This window comes from Homo sapiens, chromosome 6 (genome assembly GCF_000001405.40).
Source record: "Homo sapiens chromosome 6, GRCh38.p14 Primary Assembly".
NCBI classification, from domain to species: domain Eukaryota; kingdom Metazoa; phylum Chordata; class Mammalia; order Primates; family Hominidae; genus Homo; species Homo sapiens.
Window position 1 is genome coordinate 64,074,040 of NC_000006.12, and position 26,710 is coordinate 64,100,749.

The following is a 26,710-nucleotide window of genomic DNA, read 5'->3' on the forward strand; positions in this document are numbered from 1 at the left end:
CTTTTAGGCTTTGTAGTAAGTTTTAAAATGAATCATTTATTGATTTTTTTTCTGAATGTTTTATCCAGACTACATTTCAAAACTTTATAAAATCTCTAGTTCTCAAATTTTGTTTATCCTAATAAAATGATTGTCTGCTAATTTAAGATTTGTTAAGCATAAAAGTGCTGCTTAGAACAATGAATAATAGTATTCCTCTCAAAACATAGATTCCAGTATCTAAATGTCATAGTTTTTAGAGAGATAATTCTAAGAAGTTTGAATCTGATATATTAAAATATATATGTATATATAATTAGTCTTATAAAAAGAAATAATGAAATAAATATCACATGGAGAAACAATGATATTCTAGTCACCTATTTTACAATTTTAGTTTGCTTAGATATTAGTTTAATTGTAGATCTGGAATTTGCTAAACATGGATACTTTATCACTTTATTGAAATATTGAAGATATTCATTGTTTATATGGTACCACTCCCATTAAACATGGGTATTCTTCTCTAATTGAGCTATTGTAATAATGCTCCCAATATCAACAATTTGAATTGAGATCATTTATAAATATTCAAAAGAGGTTCATTGGTTATCGGTTTGAATTAAATAAAATCTAACATCATTCCTTATAGAATTAATAGTTATAAGTGCAGATAAAGCACTATTAAATCAGGTACCTAGATTATTAAATCTGGAAATTTCCATAAAGTTACCTGGATTTCTATCATCTACCTTAACAGAAAAATACCTCACATTTTTATGGTGTTTTGTATTTTTCAAAACACTTACATAGATATACATTTCAAACCTTGTGAAGTTTGATAATATAAACATACCTGCATCACTTGTAGTCAAACTAAGACATAGAAAGATGAATAGATGTACCCTATATTGTACAATAGCTCACACTAACTTGGGTTCAAATCTATCCTTGGTTATCTACTGACGTTTCAATCAGGGCTACCTGTGGGAGCAGTCAGATGATCTGTTTATCCTGGTGCTGCTTCATGACATATGATAAAGACTGTTTGGTTATCTTGCATTGAGATCTCTGTTGGAACACAGATGTTTCTTCTGTAGTTTTAGAATTCCTCTTTCCTGGTTCCCCCTAAAGGTCTGGATTTGTATACAGCAGTAATTCCAGTAGCAACCTCAGCAGCAGTTGCTCATGATTTTAAGACAGCTTACAGCAACAATGATGACATGGGCTGATAATAACCAGTGTTAGGGTAAGCTAGTTTGTCAGTGGGAAGATGGCAGACAGAGAAGCTCTGGGGAGAACTGAAGGATCATGGCAGCAGCCTGGTACATAATTAATGATTACACCCATGTTTATTACATGCTATTGGAGATTGGCTTCAGGCCAATTTCTGAAATTTATAGACAGCCTGTTTTAATTTTTTCTAGTCTGCTAATTGTGCCTAACCAGTAAAAAACACTAGTAATACACAACTCTTAGAGGAAATGGGTCTTCTTCATTTGGGTGAAATGAATAAAAATGAAAACTCCAAATTTCACCAATTGTCTGTTTTCCTACTCTCCCATTTTTGATGCCACGATTTTTAGTCTATTTGTTGCTAGGATGAACATGGCTGTTAAATGGATATAACATTCGTAACACCTCTCAGACAAAAATCTTGCATCTTAAGACCTTAATTCCCTAGACAAGGTACAAGAGGAAAGGAGTTAAAGCATTATCTGAATAAGTCACTTATTTCAGGCCTGCCATTTGCCAAGCACTGTTTTATGCAGGTTATATGTATCTCTCATTGACTTATTTCTTCATAAATTTCAATTGTATAAGTAGAATATAATTGTTCTATTTTAGGCGAAGTTTAATGAATCACATAATTCTAGGTCAAGGGTTGGCAATCTATGTGGCCCATGGACCAAATTCTGACACTGTCTGATTTTGTAAATCTTAATTGAAACATGGCCGTACTCATTCATTTACATATTGTCCATGGCTGCTTTCAGGCTACTATGGCAGAGTTGAACTTGTGCAGCTTGCAAACATATCTACTTCAAATATCTATTTCTGAGGGTTATAGAAAAACTTGCCAACTCCTGCTATATTCCTGATTTTTTAAGTAAATGCGTGAAAACATTATCTTTGTTTCAAGCTACATTTTGACTAAACCATTGAAATTTGTGTTTGTTTCTATTTATCAGAGGAATAAATTATAACAATGTTCAATGGGATAATTTCCTAAAGATTCAATACCTACTTATTTTTTATCACAACTATCAAGGTTGAATAACTCAGAAACAAAACTTAAGAACTATTCTAGCCAAGTACCTATGCTATGCAAGGCACTAGAGGAGGTTCTGAGGAGAGTGGGGAGAATAGAGAACTACGAAACACAGTTTCAGATTAAGAGGTTAATATGGTTTGGCTGTGTCCCTACCCAAATTTGATCTTGAATTGTAACTCCCATAATTCCCATGTGTTTTGGGAGGGACCCGGTGGGAGATAACTGAATCATGGGGGCATTTTCCCTCATACTGTTCTGGTGGTAGGGTATAAGTCTCATGAGATCTGATGGTTTTATAAGGAGTTTCCCCTTTTGCTTGGCTGTCATTCTCTCTCTTGCCTGCTGTCAAGTAAGATGTGTCTTTTGCCTTCTGCCATGATTGTGAGACCTCCCCAGCCCCGTGGAACTGTGAGTCCATTAAACCTCTTCTTCTTTATAATTTACCCAGTCTTGGGTATGTCTTTATTAGTAGTGTAAAAACAGGCTAATACAGAGGTGTTTGCTATTTGGTGAGGAGATGTAAGCACAGACTCCTGGTAAAATGAATCTCTGTGCAAGTTCTTAATTTATACTTCTAATTTAAGACATGTCACAACCAGGTTTCCCAAAGAATTATGTAGCTATCTACTAAAAGGTGAGAAACTAGGGATATATAGACCATCACTTATTCAACTTTGTATCCCTCACATTGCCCAAAGAAAGCTATGCACATTTTAGGCACTCAGAATTTGTTGAATTTGTCTTTGCTGTCATAAAAAAGATGAAATACAATGAATAGAAGTTTCTCATGAATGACAATGCATTAATTCAGCCATCCATGTTTGCAACTTACTCTTTCCTATATCTGTCTTGAGCTAGCTCTATTGGGACCCATTAAGGAGGGATGAAGATATTCAAAGAATTTTATGGTACACACAATAAAATTGATTAAAACAACTGAGCAATCTTTTTCCTTAGAAGAGAAAAGATGCTATCTAATATGATGCCAGGGAATGCTGTGGGACTTCATTGGCCTTGCCACATCATTGAAATGAAATATGGTAAGTGTCTAATGAAGATGTTATATATTCTGCTGGAAATCATTTTATAGGGAAAGGCAGGTGTTATGACTCTTTAGATTTCATTTGTTTTCTCCAGGAGTATCAGAAATCTTTTAGTCTTCCATAAATGCAAATGAAGAGGCCCCAATAATTCCACTAGCATGTCAATTACTCTTATCTAAGATTGGTCCTTCTTTTGCTTCCTATTTTAAATACAAACATTAAGTAATATAAAGATTGCTTCTGAATCCTCTCCTCCCACTGGAGTTGCTCATGTAATTTGCCTCCTGGGACTTGGTCAGATGTCTTCTCATAATTTTCAAAGATCACATACTTCCACATGGCATGCTTATTTCTTTTCAAAGAAGCAGCACAGAATGGATCCAACTGCATGGTAATATATCCCATGACGAAGCCTCCTGATTGATACTGCTTGTGTAATAGAGCTCATTTTCTGAAAGTGCACCTAAAGAATTTTGTGTGGTCTCATCCCTTCTCTCGTGACCTATTAGTAGCTCCTTTGACTAGGTTCCAGAATTCTGAATTGGTTCAGTGGCAGATTCAAAAAGCTTTCTTTTCATCTTGACTGCTGCTCTCAGAGCTGTCTCTCTCCCACAGAGTGTTCTTTTTTAAGCTATCCTTTCTAAGGATTTTTACCGTAACCCCGTAAGGATTCAAGTTTTATCTTCCTTTTGTTCCTTTTCAACATCAATTAGTTGGTGAGGCAAACTGAGACAAAATAAATGTGCAGTTTTGAACCAGGAATATAATTCAAAGCTGACAGTGGTTTATCAGCCTGATAGTTCTCTATCCTTGTCTCTTAAATATTTGATTTGATATAAAATACAATGTTCAAAAAATGTTTGTGAAATGGAATTGAGTTGAACTGAAATATTTAGGAATTAAAAAATGGCAAAATTAAAATCAAAGCAACTCAAACAAAATCAACACCTAATATTTGAAGTGAAACATCTGTTTTAATTTTCTCACTAGTTTTAATTGCTCCTACACATAATATACTGATTTCAAAGTAAATGCAATTATCCCCTAAGTTAAGGGACACACCTTTTAAATTACCAGTATCTAACTGAATTACAAAAATCTTTGTGCTCATCTGTTGTGAGGCTTTTATGAGGTTGACAGATTCTAAGAGGATAGAAAGTAGCAACCCAGGAAACATTCTGCTGAGGTATTCCCAACAGTGTAGGATTAAATTACCACCTTAAAAATGAACAGAAAGAATGCTTTACAAACAAAAATATTTTCTCCCTTCATGGGCTCTGAAACTCTCTAGAGTAAACAGCTTTGATGTGTCCGGTACTATAACAACAATTATATAAGACAAGGGCAGAAATGGATAATCGTTACAGTGGGATTATTTTCTTACCAATAATTTCTAGTTTGATTGTTTTTGTAGGTCATTGAATAAGGAAGGCAGAAATGATCCTATGGCACTATCATCAGCTTGACTTTTATTGGATTTAGATTAAAGTACGAACTTTAATGGAGTGTATATATGCTTGGCATGTATTTCTCTGGCCTTCAAAGATAACACATCCAAGTGTTGGTATGGACATGAGCCAGGAGCGTGAACCCAGAGCAGGATAATTCCCAGTGGTTGGGTGCTGCTTTAACTATGAGCTGTTTTTAGTTGGTAGAAATAAATTTTCCCCAAGAAAATGCCTTCCAATTCTATATAACTTAAAAAATTGCAAAGCTAGAAAATCACTTTTCTTTGTCTTTCGATTATTATGTTTGTGTCTTTTGTTCTGTTTTTCTTTTGTTTACTCTGCAATGTACTATTACTTCCAAATTTCATGGTCATCTACCAGCACTTAGATTTTGTATAAAAAACAAGTTTTTCTTTTGTATTGTCTTCTCTCTCTCTCTTTTAACATAAATCAGTCAGACACTCTCTAAAGCTATCATTTAAACATGGGTGCCTCTGCTCCTGGGGAATAAATGATACTGGCCTAGCCTGGCAAGTTGGTTTCTTTCTAAAATATAACATAAATTCTTTGTTTTAATTTAATGTTAAAAACTACTAACTTCACCTGGCTTTCCTAAATGCTTCTTTTAGGCATTTTACTCGTAGTCAAATAATAAAATCTTTTATGTATTTTGTTTAGAAAGTGTAGAATGATGAATCAATTTAGCAAACTGTTTCAAAGTAGAGGAGCAAATCGTTTGGGAAATAATAAGTTGCCCCAAAGGGGATAATTGTTTTTTATTTTTTATTTTTTTATTATTTTATTATACCTTAAGTTCTAGGGTACATGTGCACAACATGCAGGTTTGTTACATATGTATACATGTGCCATGTTGGTGTGCTGCACCTATTAACTCGTCATTTACATTAGGTATATCTCCTAATGCTATCGCTCCCCGCTCCCCTGATACCACAACAGGCCCCTGTGTGTGATGTTCCCCTTCCTGTGTCCAAGTGTTCTCATTGTTCAATTCCCACCTATCAGAATATGCGATGTTTGGTTTTTTGTCCTTGCCATAGTTTGCTGAGAAGGATGGTTTCCAGCTTCATCCATGTCCCAACAAAGGACATGAACTCATCATTTTTTATGGCTGCATAGTGTTCCATGGTTTATATGTGCCACATTTTCTTAATCCAGTCTATCATTGTTGGACATTTGGGTTGGTTCCAAGTCTTTGCTATTGTGAATAGTGCCACAATAAATATACGTGTTCATGTGTCTTTATAGCAGCATGATTTATAATACTTTGGGTATTACCCAGTAATGGGATGGCTGGGTCAAATGGTATTTCTAGTTCTAGATCCCTGAGGAATCACCACACTGTCTTCCTCAATGGTTGAACTAGTTTACAGTCCCACCAACAGTGTAAAAATTCTCCACATCCTCTCCAGTACCTGTTGTTTCCTGACTTTTTAATGATTGCCATTCTAACTGGTGTGAGATGGTATCTCATTGTGGTTTTGATTTGCATTTCTCCGATGGCCAGTGATGATGAGCATTTTTTCATGTGTCTTTTGGCTGCATAAATGTCTTCTTTTGAGAAGTGTCTGTTCATATCCTTCACCCACTTGTTGATGGGGTTGTTTGTTTTTTTTCTTGTAAATTTGAGTTCTTTGTAGATTCTGGATATTAGCCCTTTGTCAGATGAGTAGATTGCAAAAATTTTCTCCCATTCTGTAGGTTGCCTGTTCACTCTGATGGTAGTTTCTTTTGCTGTGCAGAAGCTCTTTAGTTTAATTACATCCCATTGGTCAATTTTGGCTTTTGTTGCCATTGCTTCTGGTGTTTTAGACATGAAGTCCTTGCCCCTGCCTATGTCCTGAATGGTATTGCCTAGGTTTTCTTCTAGGGTTTTTATGGTTTTAGGTCTAACATTTAAGTCTTTAATCCATCTTGAATTAATTTTTGTATAAGGTGTAAGGAAGGGATCCAGTTTCAGCTTTCTACATATGGCTAGCCAGTTTTCCCAGCACCATTTATTAAATAGGGAATCCTTTCCCCATTGCTTGTTTTTCTCAGATTTGTCAAATATCAGATAGTTGTAGATATGCGGCATTATTTCTGAGGGCTGTGTTCTGTTCCATTGGTCTATATCTCTGTTTTGGTACCAGTACCATGCTGTTTTGGTTACTGTAGCCTTGTAGGATAGTTTGAAGTCAGGTAGCGTGATGCCTCCAGCTTTGTTCTTTTGGCTTAGGATTGACTTGACAATGTGGGCTCTTTTTTGGTTCCATATGAACTTTAAAGTAGTTTTTTCTAATTCTGTGAAGAAAGTCATTGGTGACTTTATGGGGATGGCAGAAAGTGGCCATACTGTCCAAGGGATAATCTGTTAAGGTACTAAAGACATTACACCTCCAATATGAGGAATTGTTAAAATGATTGTGCATTTATTTCAAAAGAGAAAACAATTGTCAAATTTTGAATACTGCTGGTAATACACCTTAGTGATGTTCATTCACAGAAGAAAGAAGCCCATACATTCTGCTTATAGAGACCTTTATGAGCAAATTGCATAATAATGCAGAGAACTCTGGATGTAAAGACATTTCCTTAAGCAAATACTGTTAATACTACTTAAAAAAAAACCAGCTTATATCAAGATAATAGATGTTACTAAAAGAGTGGTAGGAATTTACTTGATTGTCAAATGAACCCCAGCTTTGGAATGCCTTTTCCCAAGTTATCAAGTATTGAATGTAATTCATATTTAGTGATTTATATCATAAAAGTATGCTCTGAAACATTTGCAGCATTTGTTTTACTGCTATAGCCATATGCTGTCAAATTCATATGCTTGCTAAATTCTGTCTTGTCAGCTCAGATCCTGTTTGTAAGTCACGTTCCATTGAATGACTCATAAAGAAACTTCTAGAGAAACTACAAAGAACTAAAATTTCTCTTTGGTAATGCTTCATGCACTGGTCTGGAAAAATTCTCTCACAATATTTAAATGAATAAATCATTGATTCAATAGATCAACGTTTGAGAAAGAAACATGACATACAAGAAGTCAAACATTTAATACTCACTGTAAAGAATAGTTCCATTTAAACTGTTTGTTTTTATAGTCAAGTAGATGGTAACAGTTCTGTTATGTTCCTTCTCCAGGACAAACTTCAAAAAGGGCAGTTCTAAATAGGAATTCCCATTGAAAGATGGAAAGAATAAACCTGCATCTAAAAAAGAAAATGGTATTAATATGTTCTGATAGCATTATATTGCTACTCAAGTAGATAAAAACTTAGCATTTATAGTTAGCATTCATTTGAAAAGGTAACACTAGTATTTAAAATGTTAGGTCCAATTTTAAGAACTTTAGATATAAAGTGTAATAAATTTATATTTATTGCCTCAAATAATTCACTACCAGTACAGAGGAAAAGACTGAATAAGAGTTATAATTTGATGTTTATGGATGGGTTTTAAGACATAACAAACACTCTAAAATTGTCTGAAAAAAATTTGTGTACTTGCATTGTGAAATCAGTGTTTCACCAGATTCTTTTGCGATATTTTGTGATGTGAAGGTTGTATTGTTTGTTAATTTTTAATTTTTGTGTTTACATTGTAGGTATATATATTTATGGGTTTCATGAGATATTTTGATACAGGAATACAATGTATCATAATCACATCAGGGTCAATGGAGTATCCATCACCTTAAGCATTTATCCTTTGGGTTACAAACATCAAGATATACACTTAAAATTGATAAATTTTATTTGATGTAATTATATGTCAATAAAGTGAAAAAAATTCTGTGACACACAAAGGTTAGAGAACTGTCACACAGAGGAATTTTATTAATGTTCATTAATATTTAGTGCTTTTCAATAATACTTAGTTATTTTATAAGTAGTATTACTATAATATGCAAGGTTATTAGTTTTAGACTTATAGAATTATTTGTATTTTAAATAATCTCACAAAATCTTGGTGCACATAAAATTTAAAACATTTCATTGTTATAGATCTATATTCATATCTATTAAAATATAATTGGTACATAGAACAAGTGTAACACATGGTATGTTGAAAATGCAACTTCTTTAACATTTGGTAATAAAAAAAAGAAAATGCAACTTCTTTTTTTTTTTTTTGAGATAGTGTCTCATTTTATCAGCACAACTGAAGTGCAATGGAGCAATCTCGGCTCACTTCAGCCTCAAACTCTCAGGCTCAGGTCATCCATCTGCCTCAGCCTCTGAAGTAATTGGGACTACAGGTGTGTGCCAACACGCCTGGCTAACTTTTGTATTTTTAGTAGAGACAGGGTTTCACCATGTTGCCCAGGATTGTCTCAAACTCCTGAGCTCAAGCAATCTGCCCACCTTGGCCTCCCAAAGTGCTGGAATTACAGATGTGAGCCACCATGCCCAGCCAACTTTCTTTTTTGTCTTTCTCACAATGGGGGGAATTTTCTCTGCCACTGGACGGAAATTTAGTATTTCCGATTATTTTTACCATCTCTCTAAGTCATACAGTGAGTGAGAAACTAATATCCAGTCTAAGAAATTTAGTAACAGTTAAATCTTCCATCAGAGATATGATTTCTCCTATCCTCCTTCACCAGCCTATCTCTGTAGGGTGGCCTGACACCTGCTGTCTTCCTTGAGGGGCAGAAGTAACCTGGTTTCTGTTCTTCTTTTTATCACCTCTCCTAAGGTTAGCTGCTGTTTCTGACCCTTCCAGCTTTGAATGGGGAGAAAGTAAGGTGGGGTGGAAAGGAAAGACTACACAGTAAAGAAGAGCTGTTAGAAATGGCAATTGTACTGTTGTAACCAGGCATCTTGCTCTTTAGGAAGGGAACATGTTTAAAACTGGTTGTTTCTTTCATGGTAGGGATGCCAGATAAAATACAGGATGCTCAGTTAAATTCAAATTTCAGATAAATAACAAATAAGTTTTTTGTTGTTATTTGTTTGTTTTTTGAGACAGTCTTGCTTCGTTGCCCAGGCTGGAGTGCAATGGTGCAATCTTGGCTCACTGCAACCTCCACCTCCCGGCTTCAAGCGATTCTCCTGCCTCAGCCTCCTGAGTAGCTGGGATTACAGTCATGTGCCACCATGCCTGGCTAACTTTTGTATTTTTAGTAGAGACGGGGTTTCACTATGTTGGCCAGGCTGCTCTCTAACTCCTGACCTCAGGTGATCCACCTGCCTCAGTCTCCCAAAGTGCTGGGATTACAGGCGTGAGCCACTGTGCCCAGCCTAAATAAGTTTTTAGTATAAGTATGTCTCAAACATCACATGAAATATACTAAAAATAGTGCTGTTTATTTGAAATTTAAATTTAAGAATCCTGTAATTTTAGTTGCTAGATCTGGCAACACTATGACTCATGAGCATTTATTCAATCTTTGGAAACCTTTGTCAACTGCCACGCCTAGGATTTGCAGCCATACCCTGCCTTCTTTCTTGTCACTTCTATCTTGGTCTTGCTCTGATTTTTCAAACTCTTGTTGTTGACAGTGATTTGCCTGTGTCAGTGCAAACATTGCACAGATTAAGTTAAGTAGGCAAGGATGACTTTTCCCAAGGCTATTGCAATAAGGGAGAGGTCAGAACTCAGTCTGAGCTCAACTGCTTTGTAATAAAGTAAAGGGTGGGAGAGTTTTTAAGAGCTGGAGTGAGAGAGAACACAGGCTGTCTGTGTTTGCTAATTGGCTTTATTCAAAGGATAAGTAAACTTTCTCTTATCTTTGTATTAGGACATAGTTTTACAACTAGGAATCAAGGCACCCATTGAAGTTAGTCTTATACCCTCCCCTAGAGGTGGACAGATGGGCTGCTGTCTTCTTTTATGATTACATTTTGGGGGAGCAGTGGTTCCAAGAACCTTAAGAAAGATTCCTGGCTGGTAAAACTGACAAGATCTTTAAAAGATTTATGTTTCAAAGGCAACAGAGAAATAATGTAATACGGAAAGTTTTCTAAAGTAAATGCTCCAAGGACCTAGTCAGGAAGAAACCTTTCTAAAGTTTAGTTAAGCTAAGAAGAGTGTTAAGGCCATCTTAGTCACTTAACAAGCAGCATTTGGGAAGAACATAAAATGACTTCAGGCCAGTTGCTTTTCCTGAGGGGTACATATCTAGTCCGTGGTAAAGACTCTTAAATTCCTGGTCATCTCCTGCCCTACTGTATGTGGGGTATAGTTAATTTCCAACCAAACTCTGTCTCTGTTTTTCTTCTGTTGTTTTTTTTGAGACAGAGTCTTGTTCTTTTGCACAGGCTGCAACTGTGGTGCAGTCTCTGCTCACTGTAACCCCCGCCTCCCGAGTAGCTGGGATTACAGGTGCATGCCACCATGTCTGGCTAATTTTTGCATTTTTAGTAGTGATGGGTTTTCGCTATGTTGGCCAGGCTGGTTGGGCTCCTGACCCCAAGTGATCCACCTGCCTAGGCCTCCCAAAGTGCTGGGATTATAGGCGTGAGTCACCCTGCCCAGCCCTCTGTCTCTTTCTCTCTCCCCCTCCTTCTCCTTCCAGACGCGCGCGCGTGCGCACGTGCGCGCGCACACACACACACACACACACACACAGTGCTGCTTTAGCTCAGCTATGAATGTATGACTATAGGTCAACAGTCCATGGTGCTACTTTCTAAGTGATCCAGCTGTAGCTATCTCCAAACACATTGTCAGGTACGGTGGGTGGAAGAGGGTGGGGAGTGAAGTCCACAAGATAGCCTTCTTCAAAAACATTTTCTCAAAATTATCTCTTAAAATCTTCTGGTCCAAATACATACCCTTTTTAAATCAAGAATACTTTCTAGTTAAATCTTGCTTTTAGGTATGGCACCTCATTTGTTTACAGTGTTATATCCTGTTGTGCAAAAGAAAGTTTATTTTTAATATCCTGTTTATGCCTATAACTTGTGAAGGTTAGTTGTTAGAATCAGGTATAAACAATACAACTTAACTATTATTAAACTGCTTTACTTAAGTTATATGGTATCACAAAAGTTACCGTTTGTTGGCCTTCTACACACAATCTTTTACTCTTAGAAATTTACCTACCTGGTTCTGCATTTTATTGAATCTGTTTTTTCAAAGGTTATTAAGGCCTTGTTAGCAAGTTCTTCATCGGTGCTTATGAGCACTGATGCCTAGAAATCTCCATAATACTAAGCCGTCATTTTTATTAAAACTTTCTCTTTCCTTGTCTTTCATGACACTGTTCTGTACTTTGGCTGTCTTCTTACCTACCTTTTGCAGACTGTTTCTTCAACCACTTTATAACACACATAGTTTCCAAGGCTCTGTCCTCTGTCTTGAGTCCTCTAATCATTTCTGACTTTTCTACATCTGCTGCTCCTTCAGTTTCTAACTCATAGTACTTAGTGTTCCAAGCTTAGAAACTCAGCATCATTATCTACTCGTCTCTTCCCAAACTAGTTGCTAGATCCTGACACTTGCTTAAATCAAAGCTTTTGTCTTTCCTTCTGCTACCACAACCCTTTAAGTTCTCATTGTTTCAACTGAACTGTTGCAGTGGCTTCTTTCTAACTTGCTTTCCTTCCTACAGTGTCTATTAGTTGTCATTGCTGCCATGTCAATTTTATTCAATCATAATTACCTGAGACCTTTGGTCAAAAACTTCAGTGGCTACAGTATAATTATCAAGTAAGCCAGGCCCTCCATGGTCTTCCTTTTTAGTGCTTCTACACATACATATCTCCTGCTAAGGTTGAACCAACTTTCTTTTGTTTCTCTACTTGTGTTCATACTGTTCTATCTTTGTAGAACGTTCTTCCTCAAATCCTAGGTATAAAATTTCTCCCTTAATTCAAGGCCTACTTGAATATTCTCCCAAATTTGAACTCCTCAAAGCATTGTATCCGCAACTTTTTTAGTCTATGTATTGTTTTTTATCCTACGTTACAATTGTTGGCATAAATATAGAATTGATAATATAGTAAACCTAATAATTTGGATGAAGGCAGTGAAGTGACTTTAATTAGTAGAAATAGAATGTCCTAAGCATATGAATTCTAAGAAGGCACTGGGGAAAATATGAGTTAAGGAGGTGAGTTTCCTTTCCTGTGACCAGAAACGATTATAACATAGTTGGAATGTCACTTATGGAGCAGAAGGTTTGCAGATGCTGAACTGCACATGCATCAACTTTTAATGATAGAAGAAAAGCCATATACCAATCAAGTTAAGATGCAATGTAACTAGCTAGACACTAGGAGAAGTTTGGATATGAATTTGGATACCATTAGTAGAGGAAAATGGTTAAGTTTACAAAGAGATGGACTTGGCTTGTAAATAAATAGGATCCTTAGCATATAACTTGGAAACTATTTGGATGTTGCATATCTGTTGATTCTACCATAGATATGGTTTTAGACAGTTTCTTCGTGTTATTTTTGCCTATCTTACTGGGAGTCACTAATGAATTCAACGCATTCAACAAACATCTATCAAGTGACTACTACATCCCAAATACTCATCAGGGAATACAGTGTTGAGCAAATATATAAAGATTACCCTAATGGAGCTTAGATTTTAGCTTCATAGAAGGAAACCCCAAGTTAGGAGTTGCACATGTTTTTGGGAGGTCCTGGACAAATGTGCCATCATGTTCTCTTGACCATTTTTCTTGACATTTGTTGTCACCAGGAGCATTGAAACTAATGTGAGATGGAAGACTAGATAAAAAGGAAAGTCCATAAGCCTATCTCATCTATCCTCCTACAGTATACATTCTCTGAAGAAAAGATCTGTGTTTGATTCACCTTTGATCCCCCTATGGCATGTCCAACTTTGCACATGTTAGGCAAATGCTATATTCTTTGATAAATACAAATACAACTAAAATGATCATACATGGTAGTTTGAAAACAAAAATCAGAAAAATATTTTATAAATAAAATGGGATGAGAAAAGGTAATGATGAGATTCCAGCATTTTTCTTGTTGTTAGGGCTTTTCACACTATTGATAAGTCCACCAGAAAATGTTTGAGAAAGGATAGTCTTTATATATGGGTTTATATATGAATTAAATTATTTGGTTTTATAATTAGGTTTTACTTATTCTGAGAAGCAATGAACTCACAAAGTACAATAAAAATATAATTCAATTTGCTAAAAAATGACTTCCGTGTTGCTTTGCAGGAGCACATCTATTATATAATTCAGGTGCACCTGCCTACTTTCTGGCTCACACACTCTTTGAACCTGTTTTCAGTGCTGACAGGTTTTATGAAAATTATGACAGGAAACAACAATTATAAGCAATAAACATTTGCTATTGAATTGCTTTCTAACCATATTAATTTTCATTATCACCGTGTTTAGTGGATATGTTGAAAAACAGAACTGCCCTGAATATGGAAAACAAGACTAATTGGGGTTAGGCAGAGTGTTTTCCCGCTGCTTCCAAAAGCCTCTTCAGGCGATGCTATTTGAACACACTCCAAATTTATTTCTCTTCCAATTATAAATGAAAAAAGCAACAAGGTCTTTATACGAAACATGTATTAAACATCTTACATATAGTATACTATATTACTTATAGTATTGAATTACTGGGTACTGACTACAAAATGACATCTAAAATATACTCTGCAATGTTTGAATGTCTTAAAAGATCATATAGACTTATCAAACTAATTATATTAACTTTGATATGATTCACAAAATAAAGTTAATTTTGAGTCATGGGAACATCTAATAAATCAAGATGGAGAATCTTTTAAGTTCCTAAATTATATTAAAAAAAATCTCAAATTGGCAAAGGAAGCTATGAAAGCACAGTATTGAGTTTGAAATAACTTATGCTAAAAGTATGGATTATCATTTTTATTATTTTTTTTAACCAAGCATAGTTCTGTAGTATGAATCAGGGCCACTATCAATAACAACTCATTGAAATTTTATCCAAGAGAGTACAACAGAATATTATAAAGAAAACACAAAAGAGATGAGTATCTTTACCCTGAACACAACGCAACTTAGCAGAATAAAAGTTAGTGATTCTGAATAGAAATGATGCCCCTTTGTCTACAGCACAAATCCCCTTAGCCTTCTATAAAGGCCTTCTATTAGCTAACCTCAGAGTCTGACACACTAATACACATAAAGCTACAAATACAATGGGTCACAAATTATTCATATACAAGTTGATTGTATTTCTTGGTACCAGAAGAAACAGAATATTGTTTGCTATTTCTTTATAATGGAAATAGATTTGATTTACTCAATAGAAATTAAAAATTAATACTACTGATGTTTTTGTTGAGTAGTTTTTCACCTTCCCCAGAAAGGACATCGTACAAACTCTGTGACGAAGTTTATAAAAAAGAAGGTGACTGAAATGATGCAATTATTATTTTAATTTAAAAATATTACATTTTCCACTTATGAGTCTAATTTTATTAAAATCTGTGATTTAAATGAATATCACCAGTTTATAAGTCCATGTATCTCCTTTCCTGAAGAAGCATTCATTAAAAAAATAAGTCTAACCAATAATATTCAAAGGTTTAGAAACTATAATTACCTACATTTATTATAATATTATAAAATTAAATCTCAAGATACATGAAATTTTAAATACTATATATAAATAAGAATCAATTTATAATTTTCAGTGATTACAATTAAAATGATTATAATTATGATTATCAATATCTTAAATATTTACATATAGTACAAACACTAAATATAATACTGTATATCCTATAATATAGTATATATAAATTATACTAAACTTTTTTACCACATTATACATTTTTGCTTATTTTAGAATTTAAAAAATTTAGATTTAGATGACTTGAGTTTCATAGACTAAATTATTACACTTACTTGAATAATTTCTTCACATTAGACATTCACATTTCTATTAATCCATAAACACTGATAAATTTGTTAAGTGCTGATAAAAATTTACTACTCTCTTGTTGCTGTTAGTACAGCTGTTATTTTTGCTACATCTATTTTTCCCCCACAGAAGAGAACTTCTAAAAATCAGCAGAACTAACATTTCTCCTTTTGATTGTACCTACTTCATTCCTTCATTTAAAGCATGAAAAGAACTGCTCTACATCTGACCAAAGCAATGCACAAGGAAACAATGTTTTAGAACACCCTTTCTCATCCTTCACTGTCACTTCCAATCTAGCATTACTTTTTCATCCCTGATTTCTCTGTTAACAGTTGATCATCATGATTTGCTATTTGATCCTGTCAAAAATCTGAGGCCCCAAAGCTCTGACCCCACTTCCTTTCTCTTACTAAATAAAACATCGTTTAGCACACCAACAAGATCTTCAATGCAGGAAAAATAAAACTAGGACAAGAAAGGTATGAAAAACTATCAATATTTCTCATTGTACTTGACATGCCATAATAGCTACCATTCTCTCTCTAGTCTATTCTTAAATCTTTTCTACTTTAGAAATTCTCCCTGAGTGATCTCATTTGTTCCTATAACTTTAGCTACTTTCTAATTTCTGAAAACTGTCAGATTTTAATCTTTAACATAGATAGAGCCTGACTTAACATATTCATCTGTTTAATGGACAGATTCACTTGGAAAAATATAGGTAACCTAAACTTAACATATTTAAACCCATTTTATTATTTTTCTTCTTTGAAATGTAATCTTTTTCAATATAGAATTGATAATACCTTTCTTGTTATCAACACAAATATATACTTCTATTGCAGCTCTTATTCAACTGCATAGTCCATTTTTTTTGTATGACTCACCATGTGACAGCTGTGAGTTCCTTAAATGCAGGCAGAGTGGCTTAATTTTTTTTGTGTGTCCTCAGAAAATAACACATTTTTGGCAAATACTCAACGTTTGATGGCTGAAAAAACATGCCTCTAATTTTTGTCTTGCGTTTAATTTTAGAATTTCCATCTATCAAGTTATTCAAATAACAATTTTGTCATAGTCATCCAAACTTCTTCCTTTGTTCCTCTTCCCATCCTTCCACTCACCACATCATTCTATATTTGGTTATTTAATTCAAATGGTTCCTCTTCACTTGGAATGCCATCTTCTTCTGCCTGTACTATTTGAATACCTCCTAACTTGTCTTCATTCCTTTCATATCTCCTCTGTTAATTACTGCCAAATGGATGTTATTTAAACACAAATTTGAATTTATTCTGTTTAAAGAGTCTTCCCTGGTCCTTCATTGGCAGCAAATAGTAACCCTTTCAGTTTGGCATCGAAGACTGTTCTTAACTCACCTTCCAAGACTGCCTGATTCCCTAATTACCCCATGTGATAGCCACACTCTACTACTTGGCACTTTGAACATTCATTAATTTTGAAATTAATAAATTTGTAATATTGTAATTAACATACATTAATGATTCCATTAATATACTTAAAGCATATTGGTCTTTACCTCGTCTTAAATCATTTCAGTAATTTTATCTTTTGAAAACATTTATCCCTTTCAGAGAAGTCTTCAGACACATTGCCGTTGATTTATATATAGACTATAATACTTTTAAAGTATACTTTGTCAATGGTTATGTCCTTATTTTATCTCTGTTGTTCTAAAATTTCTTCCCTCACCCCCAGATTAACCTTTCCCAGAGACAGAGAAAGCCAGCAAGGGTCTGGGCTGCTGTGATGCTTTAATTAAAAGTGTTCCACTCTGTTCTGTTTTTTATTGAGGGTACATGAGTAATATTTTGCAAAATATGTTTGCAGAGTTTTATTAAGAAAGGGCATGCAGGACTGACTTCACATGTGAAGCTACAATTAAGCTGCTGCGTGCTATGACCCAGGCCTCTACGTTGATGGTCCCCAGACTTGTTCCCATCATGGCTGGGTGGATCAGGCACTGAGAACATGACTCGTGCTGTTTAAACATGACCATGTGATTGAAACTAGGTGCCAATTAATTAATTCTTAAAATATATCACTTTAATACAGCTTGGGATACTGACATTGTCTTTTTTTTAATTATACTTTAAGTTTTAGGGTACATGTGCAAAACGTGCAGGTTTGTTACATATGTATACATGTGCCATGTTGGTGTGCTGCACCCATTAATTCAACATTTACATTAGGTATATCTCCTAATGCTATCTCTCCCCACTCTCCCCACCCCACAACAGGCCCCAGTGTGTGATGCTCCCCTTCCTGTGTCCATGTGTTCTCATTGTTCAATTCCCACCTATGGGTGAGAACATGCAGTGTTTGGTTTTTCTGTCCTTGCGATAGTTTGCTGAGAATGATGGTTTCCAAACTCATCCATGTCCCTACAAAGCACATGAACTTATCATTTTTTATGGCTGCATAGTGTTCCATGGTGTATATGTGCCACATTTTCTTAATCCAGTCTATCATTGTTGGACATTTGGGTTGGTTCCAAGTCTTTGCTATTGTGAATAGTGCTGCAATAAACATACGTGTGCATGTGTCTTTATAGCAGCATGATTTATAATCCTTTGGGTATATACCCAGTAATGGGATGGGTGGGTCAAATGGTAATTCTAGTTGTAGATCCCTGAGGAATCGCCACACTGATACCTACAATGGTTGAACTAGTTTACAATCCCACCAACAGAGTAAAAGTGTTCCTATTTCTCCACATCCTCTCCAGCACCTGTTGTTTCCTGACTTTTTAATGATTGCCATTCTAACTGGTGTGAGATGGTATCTCATTGTGGTTTTGATTTGCATTTCTCTGATGGCCAGTGATGATGAGCATTTTTTCATGTGTCTTTTGGCTGCATAAATGTCTTCTTTTGAGAAATGTCTGTTCATATCCTTTGCCCACTTTTTGATGGGGTTCTTTGTTTTTTTTCTTGTAAATTTGTTTGAGTACATTGTAGATTCTGGATATTAGCCCTTTGTCAGATGAGTAGATTGCAAAAATTTTCTCCCATTTTGTAGGTTGCCTGTTCACTCTGATGGTAGTTTCTTTTGCTGTGCAGAAGCTCTTTAGTCTAATTAGATCCCATTTGTCAATTTTGGCTTTTGTTGCCATTGCTTCTGGTGTTTTAGACATGAAGTCCTTGCCCATGCCTATGTCCTGAATGGTATTGCCTAGGTTTTCTTCTAGGGTTTTTATGGTTTTAGGTCTAACATTTAAGTCTTTAATCCATCTTGAATTAATTTTTGTATAAGGTGTAAGGAAGGGATCCAGTTTCAGCTTTCTACATATGGCTAGCCAGTTTTCCCAGCACCATTTATTAAATAGGGAATCCTTTCCCCATTGCTTGTTTTTCTCAGATTTGTCAAATATCAGATAGTTGTAGATATGTGGCATTATTTCTGAGGGCTGTGTTCTGTTCCATTGGTCTATATCTCTGTTTTGGTACCAGTACCATGCTGTTTTGGTTACTGTAGCCTTGTAGGATAGTTTGAAGTCAGGTAGCGTGATGCCTCCAGCTTTGTTCTTTTGGCTTAGGATTGACTTGACAATGTGGGCTCTTTTTTGGTTCCATATGAACTTTAAAGTAGTTTTTTCCAATTCTGTGAAGAAAGTCATTGGTAGCTTGATGGGGATGGCATTGAATCTATAAATTACCTCGGGCAGTATGGCCATTTTCACGACATTGATTCTTCCTACCCATGAGCATGGAATGTTCTTCTATGTGTTTGTATCCTCTTTTATTTCATTGAGCAGTGGTTTGTAGTTCTCCTTGAAGAGGTCCTTCACATCCCTTGTCAGTTGGATTCCTAGGTATTTTAGTCTCTTTGAAGCAATTGTGAATGGGAGTCCACTCATGATTTGGCTCTCTGTTTGTCTGTTGTTGGTGTATAAGAATGCTTGTGATTTTTGCACATTGATTTAGTATCCCGAGACTTTGTTGAAGTTGCCTATCAGCTTTAGAAGATTTTGGGCTGAGATGATGGGGTTTTCTAGATATACAATCATGTCATCTGCAAACAGGGACAATTTGACTTCCTCTTTTCCTAGTTGAATACCCTTTATTTCCTTCTGCTGCCTGATTGCCCTGGCCAGAACTTCCAACACTATGTTGAATAGGAGTGGCGAGAGAGGTCATCCCTGTCTTGTGCCGGTTTTCAAAGGGAATGCTTCCAGTTTTTGCCCAGTCAGTGTGATATTGGCTGTGGATTTGTCATAGATAGCTCTTATTATTTTGAGATACGCCCCATCAATAACTACTTTATTGAGAGTTTTTAGCATGAAGCGTTGTTGAATTTTGTCAAAGACCTTTTCTGCATCTATTGAGGTAATCATGTGGTTTTTGTCTTTGGTTCTGTTTATATGCTGGATTACATTTATTGATTTGCGTATGTGGAACCAGCCTTGCATCCCAGGGATGAAGCCCACTTGATCATGGTGGATAAGCTTTTTGATGTGCTGCTGGATTCGGTTTGCCAGTATTTTATTGAGGATTTTCGCATCGATGTTCATCAGGGATATTTGTCTAAAATTCTCTTTTTTGGTTGTGTCTTTGCCTGGCTTTGGTATCAGGATGATGCTGGCCTTATAAAACAAGTTAAGGAGGATTCCTTTTTTTTCTATTAATTGGAATAGTTTCAAAAGGAGTGGTACCAGCTCCTCCTTGTACCTCTGGTAGAATTTGGCTGTGAATCCATCTGGTCCTGGACTTTCTTTGGTTGGTAAGCTATTAATTATTGCCTCAATTTCAGCTCCTGTTATTGGTCTATTCAGAGATTCCACTTCTTCCTGATTTAGTCTTGGGAGGGTGTATGTGTCGAGGAATTTATCCATTTCTTCTAGATTTTCTAGTTTATTTGCGTAGAGGTGTTTCTAGTATTCTCTGATGGTAGTTTGTATTTCTGTGGGATCTGTGGTGATGTCCCCTTTATCATTTTTTTATTGCATCTATTTGATTCTTCTCTATTTTCTTCTGTATTAATCTTGCTAGTGGTCTATCAATGTTGTTGATCTTTTCAAAAAACCAGCTCCTGGATTGATTTTTTTGAAGGGTTTTTTGTGTCTCTCTCTCCTTCAGTTCTGCTCTGATCTCAGTTATTTCTTGCCTTCTGCTAGCTTTTGAATGTGTTTGCTCTTGCTTCTCTAGTTCTTGTAATTGTGATGTTAGGGTGTCAATTTTAGATCTTTCCTTCTTTCCTTTGTTCGCATTTAGTGCTATAAATTTCCCTCTACACACTGCGTTGAATGTGTCCCAGAGATTCTGGTATGTTGTGTCTTTGTTCTCGTTGGTTTCAAAGGACATCTTTATTTCTGCCTTCATTTCATTATGTACCCAGTAGTCATTCAGGAGCAGGTTGTTCAGTTTCCATGTGGTTGAGCGGTTTTGAGTGAGTTTCTTAATCCTGAGTTCTAGTTTGATTGCACTGTGGTCTGAGAGACAGTTTGTTATAATTTCTGTTCTTTTACATTTGCTGAGGAGTGCTTTACTTCCAACCATGTGGTCAATTTTGGAATAGGTGTGGTGTGATGCTGAAAAGAATGTATATTCTGTTGATTTGGGGTGGAGAGTTCTGTAGATGTCTCTTAGGTCCATTTGGTGCGGAGTTGAGTTCAATTCCTGGATATCCTTGTTAACTTTCTGTCTCGTTGATCTGTCTAATGTTGACAGTGGGGTGTTAAAGTCTCCCATTATTATTGTGTGGTAGTCTAAGTCTCTTTGTAGGTCTCTAAGGACTTGCTTTATGAATCTGGGTGCTCCTGTATTGGGTGCATATATATTTAGGATAGTTAGCTCTTCTTGTTGAATTGATCCCTTTACCATTATGTAATGGCCTTCTTTGTCTCTTTTGATCTTTGTTGGTTTAAAGTCTGTTTTATCAGAGACTAGGATTGCAACCCCTGCCGTTTTTTGTTTTCCATTTGCTTGGTAGATCTTCCTCTGTCCCTTTATTTTGAGCCTATATGTGTCTCTGCACATGAGATGGGTCTCCTGAATACAGCACACTGATGGGTCTTGACTCTTTATCCAATTTGCCAGGCTGTGTCTTTTAATTGGAGCATTTAGCCTATTTACATTTAAGGTTAATATTGTTGTGTGTGAATTTGATCCTGTCATTATGATGTTAGCTGCTTATTTTGCTCATTAGTTGATGCAGTTTCTTCCTAGCCTCGATGGTCTTTACAATTTGGCATGTTTTTGCAGTGGCTGGTACCGGTTGCTCCTTTCCATGTTTAGAGCTTCCTTCAGGAGCTCTTTTAGAGCAGGCCTGGTGGTGACAAAATCTCTCAGCATTTGCTTATCTGTAAAGTATTTTATTTCTCCACTTATGAAGCTTAGTTTGGCTGGATATGAAATTCTAGGTTGATAATTCTTTTCTTTAAGAATGTTGAATATTGGCCCCCACTCTCTTCTGGCTTGTAGAGTTTCTGCCGAGAGATCAGCTGTTAGTATGATGGGCTTCCCCTTGTGGGTAACCCGACCTTTCTCTCTGGCTGCCCTTAACATTTTATCCTTCATTTCAACTTTGTTGAATCTGACAATTATTTTCTTGAAGTTGCTTTTCTCGAGGAGTATCTTTGTGGGATTCTCTGTATTTCCTGAATTTGAATGTTGGCCTGCCTTGCTAGATTGGGGAAGTTCTCCTGGATAATATACTGCAGAGTGTTTTCCAACTTGGTTCCATTCTCCCTATCACTTTCAGGTACACCAATCAGACGTAGATTTGGTCTTTTCACATAGTCCCATATTTCTTAGAGGCTTTGTTCATTTCTTTTTATTCTTTTTGCTCTAAACTTCTGTTCTCACTTTATTTCATTCATTTCATCTTCCATCATTGATACCCTTTCTTCCAGTTGATCGAATCAGCTACTGAGGCTTGTGCATTCGTCACGTAGTTCTCATGCTGTGGTTTTCAGCTCCATCAGGTCCTTTAAGGACTTCTCTGCATTGGTTATTCTAGTTAGCCATTCGTCTAATTTTTTTCCAAGGTTGTTATCTTCTTTGCCATGGGTTCAAACTTCCTCCTTTTAGCTCGGTGTAGTTTGATCGTCTGAAGCCTTCTTCTCTCAATTCGTCAAAGTCATTCTCCATCCAGCTTTGTTCCGTTGCTGGTGACGAGCTGCATTCCTTTGGAGGAGGAGAGCTGCTCTGGTTTTTAGAGTTTCCAGTTTTTCTGCTCTGTTTTTTCCCCATCTTTGTGGTTTTATCTACCTTTGGTGTTTGATGATGGTGACGTACAGATGGGGTTTTGGTGTGGATGTCCTTTCTGTTTGATAGTTTTCCTTCTAACAGTCAGGACCCTCAGCTGCAGGTCTGTTGGAGTTTGCTGGAGGTCCACTCCAGACCCTTTTTGCCTGGGTATCAGCAGCGGAGGCTGCAGAACAGCAGATATTGGTGAACAGGAAATGTTGCTGCCTGATGGTTCCTCTGGAAGTTTTGTCTCAGAGGAGTACCCAGCCGTGTGAGATGTCAGTCCGCCCCTACTGGCAGGTGCCTCCCAATTAGGCTACTCTGGGGTCAGGGACCCACTTGAGGAGGCAGTCTGTTCCGTTCTCCGATCTCAAGCTGTGTGCTGGGAGAACCATTACTCTCTTCAAAGCTGTCAGACAGGGACATTTAAGTCTGCAGAGGTTTCTGCTGCCTTTTGTTTAGCTATGCCCTGCCCCCAGAGGTAGAGTCTACAGAGGAAGGCAGGCCTCCTTGAGCTGCGGTGGCCTCCACCCAGTTTGAGCTTCCTGGCTGCTTTATTTACCTACTCAAGCCTCATCAGTTGCGGAGGCCCCTCCCTCAGCCTCGCTTCTACCTTGCAGTTTGATCTCAGACTGCTGTGCTAGCAATGAACAAGGCTGCGTGGGTGTAGGACCCTGCAAGCCAAGCATGGGATATAATCTCCTGCTGTGCCGTTTGCTAAGAGGGTTGGAAAAGCCCAGTATTAGGGTGGGAGTGACCCAATTTTCCAGGTGCCATCTGTCACCCCTTTCTTTGACTAGGGAAGGGAATTCCCTGACCCCTTGGGCTTCCCAGGTGAGGTGATACCTTGCCCTGCTTTGGCTGACGCTCGGTACACTGACATTGTCATGATCATTGTATTGTTTCCTACAGCCATGCTAATGGAAGGAGGAGAATATGGAAGAAAATTATAATTAGTAAGTCGTTGGTAATGAAAACCAGAACACAAAAAAATTGGACAAATTACAAAAAGAGACATTTTGGCAAAAAATGTTTATAAAAAGTGAAATGTGTTAAAGAATACCTCATGAATACTAGGAAAATACAAATTTCAATCACTATTAGGTATCATAATTTTATATCTTTCAGACTGGAAAAATAAATCTCATAATTGCAAGAGTTGGTGAAGATGTGGATTAGATGAAACTGTTACATCTTACTGGGTCTAGTAAACATTTTGTACAACACATTGGAAAACTATTTGGCAGTATCCAGTAATAATTAAGAAGTATGTAACACTATCAATCGTTTTCCTAGATATTTCTAGATCTCTTGCAAATGTACTCAAGGAAGCATATGTAAGAATATCCAGAATAGTATATTTTGTACTATAAAATAAGAAAGACAAATTTCCATTAATAGACTATCAAAAGTATGAATTATGATACAGGTATAGAAAGGAATACTATAGAGCAGGGAAATAACTTCTACAAATATAAGTGGATCAATTTATATTATGGATAAATTTCTAGAGCATATTGAGCAAAAGGAGCAAGCTGCAAAACAATACTGCATTTGTTATTTACATAAATTTTTAGAAAAAATAAAATAATCCTATCTATTATTTAGTGATATATAGTAAGAATACAAATAAACACATGGATGATAAAGATAACTCAGGGTAGTGTTTATTCCTGAGGAGGTGGTAGGGTTATGCAAAGTCTTCAAATGTGTTAGTAATGTTTTCTTTCTTTCTTTTTTTTTTTTTTTGAGACGGAGTCTTGCTCTGTCGCCCAGGCTGGAGTGCGGTGGTGCCATCTCGGCTCACTGCAACCTCTGCCTCTGGGGTTCAAGCCATTCTCCTGCCTCAGCCTCCCGGGTAGCTGGGACTAGAGGTGTGTGCCACCACGCCCAGCTAATTTTTTGTACTTTTTAGTAGAGGTACAGGGTTTCACTATGTTGGTCAGGCTGGTCTCGAACTCCTGACCTCGTGATCCATTCACCTCGGCCTCCCAAAGTGCTGGGATTACAAGCATGAGCCACTGCACCTGGCCGTAATGTTTTATTTCTTACACTAGGTAGCGGGCATACAAATTATTGTTACATTATTCTTTATATCTTTATGCAAGACAAATTATAAAGTCATTGGTAATTATAAAAATTAGCACCCAGAAAATTAGAGAACACTTATAAGGCCACAGTGAGATATTCTAATGCCTCAATCCTTCTAATTTATCTTCTGTCCTCATCATTCCAGTGAAACAACTGTCACTAAAATTATCATTGAATTCAATGGCTCATTAAGATTTCAAAATACAGTCATAGTAATTCATATTTTATGCCCATTTTTCCCCCTTTGGTATGGCTAGTATGGAAAGTCTTTGGAAATGAGTGTTTGAGAATGACAATGAATAATAATTAGTAAGTAGTAAGCCTAATTAAGCATGGTTGCAATAATAGCCCCTGTTTCAGATGTGATCACTTTATGAAACCAAATAAATAATGTTTTCTTTACCTAGTATGTAAATATTCAGCAAAGCCTTTTTTTCTCTATTCTGAAAAGATGGGAACTTTAGAATTAGTTTGCCTTTGCCTAGCAAGGATGAAATTATACCTTCACAGTCTTGTCTCAAGGTTATATCAACTCTCCAACACTGTATCACAATTCAATCTATGAGGAACTTGTTTGCCAAGTATTCTGTTTGATGATCTTCCATGTTGATGATATCTTGTTGACAATATCTGGTGATCGGACACAGAAATAGACAGTATCTAGATGCCTTAATAAAATATATGAGTACTTAAGCATGGAGGATAAATCTCATGGAAATTAAGGAAGCTGACACTTAGGAAAGTTTCATGGGTCCTTTCATCTAGAGCATTCCTTTCACCTAAAATATCCCTTTCCAAACAGAAAAAGTTACTGCTAGCTGGTGGGTTAACTACAACCATAAAGGAGCATGCTGAGGACAACTGGCACACTAAGAATAACATCACAGAGAATTTGAAAAAAATTGTATCTTTTTCTGTATGATTTTCAACTCAAGAAATATATTTAAATTATTGCTTTATATAGATAATCTTTTCCTTTTTGATTATTTGAGACTGTAATTCTGAAACAGTTTTTCTTATTCTGGAAAATTTCCTTTTCAAGATGCTAAACCGTCTCAGTTTTTTGTTTTTCTGAGGATATACTTATTTGGACCTTATTGTCTAAATGAAGGTTTACCTGTGCAGATATTTCTAGACTGATATTTAGCTTCTCTGTGCAATTTGAAAATATTATTTCACTCTTGATTTAAAATAATTGTATATATGCTAGAATAATTATACTACTTTCTGTCAATCATTTTTAACTTATCTTGCATATTTGCTTTGTCTCTCTCTGCTACATTATTCAGGCCTAACTTCCTGTTCTTTAATTCTTTTCTTAGCTATACCTAATCTGCTGTTTAATTCACCTTTTAAAATTTCAATGATGATATATTTTATTACATTGCCTGGAATTTTGTGATAGTTTCTCTTTTGCCCTGCTTGTTTTTCAATTTCCTATGGCATTTTCCTGAGCATTTAACATATATTAGTTTTTTATTTTTGAGTTTAATGAATCTCACAGCCAAAATCCTTTGGAGTATAATGCTGCTGTTTATTTTTTTTTTCCACAGCATTTTGCCTGGGGAGCTCATCTGTTTTAGCTGGTATTCCCTTTTTTATTATGTGGTTTTTTTATTGATATTTATTGGTGAGGATCAATAGTAACCCAATTTGTAGAATTTACATTTGCAAAAGTAAACTTACATTTGCTTCTTCCAAATATCCTGACACTTTCATACTGGCACTTCTTATATTTCTAGTTGAGAATTTCTTCAACCACATTTGTAAAATAAGTTAGAACCCTGAA

General features: G+C 36.1%; 1 protein-coding gene across 2 annotated transcripts in view; it reads right to left on the reverse strand.

The window, feature by feature from the left end:
* Window positions 1-26,710, reverse strand: part of EYS (eyes shut homolog) — a 1,987,247-nt gene that overhangs the window by 354,060 nt on the left and 1,606,477 nt on the right. For both annotated transcript variants that reach the window (NM_001142800.2, NM_001292009.2), the window contains exon 32: window positions 7,817-7,963. In NM_001142800.2, the coding sequence (NP_001136272.1) occupies window positions 7,817-7,963 (147 nt within the window). The remainder of the gene's footprint in view (window positions 1-7,816; window positions 7,964-26,710) is intronic.